This window comes from Homo sapiens, chromosome 16 (assembly GCF_000001405.40).
Source record: "Homo sapiens chromosome 16, GRCh38.p14 Primary Assembly".
In the NCBI taxonomy this organism is placed as follows: domain Eukaryota; kingdom Metazoa; phylum Chordata; class Mammalia; order Primates; family Hominidae; genus Homo; species Homo sapiens.
Window position 1 is genome coordinate 20155032 of NC_000016.10, and position 3842 is coordinate 20158873.

Below are 3842 nucleotides of genomic sequence, written 5' to 3' on the forward strand. Positions count from 1 at the left end.
ATTGAATAATCTAAGCAATCTTTTTAAAAGTTAACTGACCATATATATGATGATTTATTTCTGGACTCTTCTATCCATTGGTCTGTATGTCAGTTCTCATTCTAGTACCAAACTGTTTTGATTACTGTAGCTTTGTAGTAAGTTTTGAAATCAGGAACTGAGCATCCTCCAAATTTTGTTCCTTTTTCTTTTTCAAAATTGTTTTCGTTATTCAGAGTCCTTTGAGAGTCCATAAGAGTTTAAAGATGGGTTTTTCTATGTCTTCAAAAAAGCACTATTAGGGACAGGGCAAATAACTGTGGCTCTCTGGGAACACTGAGGCTCACACCACATCGAGGCACAAGCTGGTAAAACCCCAGCACATCAACTTGAACGAGGACCAGGGTGAGCAGCAGCCACAGCAGCTGACCCTAGCATTTGCAGATGCGGGCCCAGTGGTGCTGGTGGCCTGGGAGCTGGGGCTGCTGTAACAAACAACCACAAACTGGATGGCTTAAAACAACAGAAATTTATTCTCTCACCGTTCTGAGGCCAGACGTCCAAACTTTAGGTGCTCCAGTGAACCACCCAGGGAATCACGATGATAAAGCGGCTTCATTGGGAGGAAACACACAAATGTGAGAAATGTTGTGTGGAGTTCTTTAGCATTTGTGAGTTCTTAGAACATAAGAAAAATTGCACTAAAAATCCACCTGTTGTGTTGTCATCATGAATGACAGCGAGGGGTCAGTGTCTTCAGGAGACTTCTCCGGAGCTGTGCTGAGCCACCAGCCACTTAGTTCAAGCAGTAAGGATGGTCACAGGGAGAATGGTGGCAGCCTAGGGAGCATGAAGGAGGAGCTGGGTGTGGAGTGTGTGGTGCACTCAAAAACAGAGATGGCCTTGCCACCCACACCCCAGAAGATAAGCTATTTACTTAAAGGCAAAGTGGCCAACACTATGTGAGCCTGCAGGCAATACAGGGCACCAAAGTGGCAATGAATCAGTGGAGCTTAGATGCATTGCCAGCCTCCGTGCCCCGTAACAACAGCATCCCATGGGTCCTTGAGTAGATCCTGTGTCTGCAGCAGCAACAGCTACGGTAGATTCAGCTCACCAAGCAGGTCCTCATCCAGGTGGACATGTGGGCCTTACAGCCTTACACGCCTTCTACTCAGGTGGGGAAGGGGCCAACACCCTGAAGGCCTTGTGCAGCCACCTGCTCCAGCAGGCTTCTGCGGCTGTGGCTTTGCTCAGCCCAAAGGCTGGAAGCCAAGGTCTGTCTCTGGACACCTTGAAACAAGCCATACTACCTCACACCAACATCCTTTTCACCACCAGTTCTCCATCCCCAGGGCTGACGCCCTTTGCTGTGAAGCTGGATGGGACCAGGGTGAGCCAAATGTAATGTCCCACCTCTTGAGTGCTTTGCTTTCTCAGGCCCCGGGATTGGTGTGCTTCCAAAGTCCTTTCTCCACTGTAGCACTAGACCCATCCAAGAAAGGGAAGGGGAAGCCACTGAACATCTCCTCAGTGGATGTTAAACCCAAAGACGAGGTGATCCTCTACAAGGACAAGTGTAAGTACTGTAACAAGGTTGTTTGAGACTGATAGCTCCTTGCAGATCCACCTCCACTTCCACATGGGAAGAGAGACCCTTTGTGTGCTTTGTCTGTGATAACTGCTTCACCACCAAGGGCAACCTCAAGGTGCACATTCACCAACATCCCCAGGTGAAGGCAAACCCTCACTCTTTGCTGAGCTCTAGGACAAAATGGTGGTAGGCAGTGACATCCCCTATGCACTCTTTGTACATCAATAGATGAACTGAGTCTCTCTTTAGACAGAAAACCTGTTCTTGTAATCCCCTCTGTTGGACTACCTCAAAAGCTGTTTGGGGCCTAACCCCAAGGACCTCACAGGTGGCCCATTGCCCAGTGACCTGTAGCCCACACTTCCTGGCATGGGGCCAAACCATAATTCCCCAAGGGTTGGTGGCTTCCAAGAAAGTGGGACCCCTGAACCAGGGTCAGAGACCCTGAAATTGCAGCAGCTGGTGGAGTACATCGACATGACCACCACTGACCCCAACAAATGCCTCATTTGCCACCGAGTATTAAGCTGCTAAAGCACCCTTTAAATGCATTGCTGCATCCATACTCCAGAGACACCATTCCAATGTAAGATCTGTGGCTGAGCTTTTTCTACCAAAGGCAACCCTTAAGACACACTGGGGTTCACCAACCCAACACGTCCATAAAGGTGCAGCATCTGTGCCTTTTCTATCAGAAGAAGTTCACCGGTGCTGTGATGTTGTGGCAGCATATTCAGATGGACCTGGCCAGTCAGATTCCCAACCTTCCCCTGCCAGAGAATTCCTGTGACTTTATGGGTCCTGAGCCAATGACGGTGGATGAGAATGGCAGCACCAGTGCCATGTGCCATGATGATGTTTTTGAAAGCACCAGTGTAGATGAAGTCAGCTCCCAGAGGCCTCCAGTAGCTCCTCAAAGGTCCCTGTGCCTCTTCCCAGCATGTAGTAGGCATCATCCACACTAGAGTTCACCAAGATGGGTTCCTTAGATGCCCTGGGAAAAGTGGGTCCTGCCCCTTTTGGCCTGCAGCACTAGAGCAGCAGAGAAAACAGTTCCATGAAGAGCAATAGCTTTGACCAACGACTGGTCCTCACTAATGGGAGACCAGGAGTATCAGAGCTGAAGTCCAGACATCATGGAAGCCACATCCTTCCAGGTACTCTGCTCGGTCAATGGCCAAGCAGAAAGGATCAGTCAAAGTCTCCTGATGCTGGGGACAAAGCAGAAAGCTCTGAAAACAGCTCTACTAAGATAGAAGGTTGGAGCCATCTCCCTTCAACGTTTATCTGAGCTCAGTCAATCTATGTCACAGTTGAAGTCGCTGGCACATTTGTTGAACCCTCCACATTGTCCCTGGGGATGACCCCTTTGTCAGTGGCCTAGCCATGCCAACAGGCCAAGCAACACAGCTGCACGTGGTGTGGGAAGAACTTCTTACCCATTAGCTTTCTTCAGATTCATGAGCACACTCACACTGGAGAGAAGCCTTTTGCATGCAACATTTGTGGGTAAGCTTTTACCACCAAAGGCAACTGGAAGGTCCACTATGTGACTCAGCACGCCATGGTAGGAAGCTGGCTATCGAAAACACCATGGCTCTCTTAGGTGCAGATGGAAAGAGTCTCAAATATTTCCCAGGGAAATTCTGGCCACTTTAGTGAACATGGGCCCTGTTTTGTGGAACCAGGACACCAGCATGCTCAATGGTGGTCTGGCCAAGAAGACCAATGAGATCTCTGTGATCCAGAGTGGCGGTGTTCCTACCCTCCTGGTTTCCTTGGGAGTCAGCTTCAATATAAATAACGCCACTGTCTCCAACGCGGATGGCTTCCAATTAGGTATCAGTGCAGATATGGAAAAAGCAGGTGCTACTGGGAGCATTCCCAAATACCAGTTTTCTCACTTCCTGGAAGAAGATGAGCTTGTGGTCAGCCAAACTCAAGGAGAACTTGCATGGAAGGAGAAATGCAAACAGAGTGAAATCTCTAGAATCTGCTCTTTTTAATAAGAACTCATATCCTGGCCAGACGCGGTGGCTCAAGCCTGTAATCCCAGCACTTTGGGAGACTGAGGCAGGTAGATCATGAGGTCAAGAGATCAAGACCATCCTGGCCAACTTGGTGAAACACTGTCTCTATTAAAAATACAATAATTAGCTGGGCGTGGTGGCGAGCGCCTGTAATACCAGCTACTCGGGAGGCTGAGGCAGGAGAATCATTTGAACCCGAGAGGTGGATGTTGCAGTGAGCCGAGATCACGCCACTGCAC

At 49.1% G+C, this 3842-nt stretch overlaps 1 pseudogene; it reads left to right on the forward strand.

Annotated features, from left to right (window-relative positions):
* SALL4P3 (spalt like transcription factor 4 pseudogene 3) lies at positions 551-3595 on the forward strand (annotated as a pseudogene).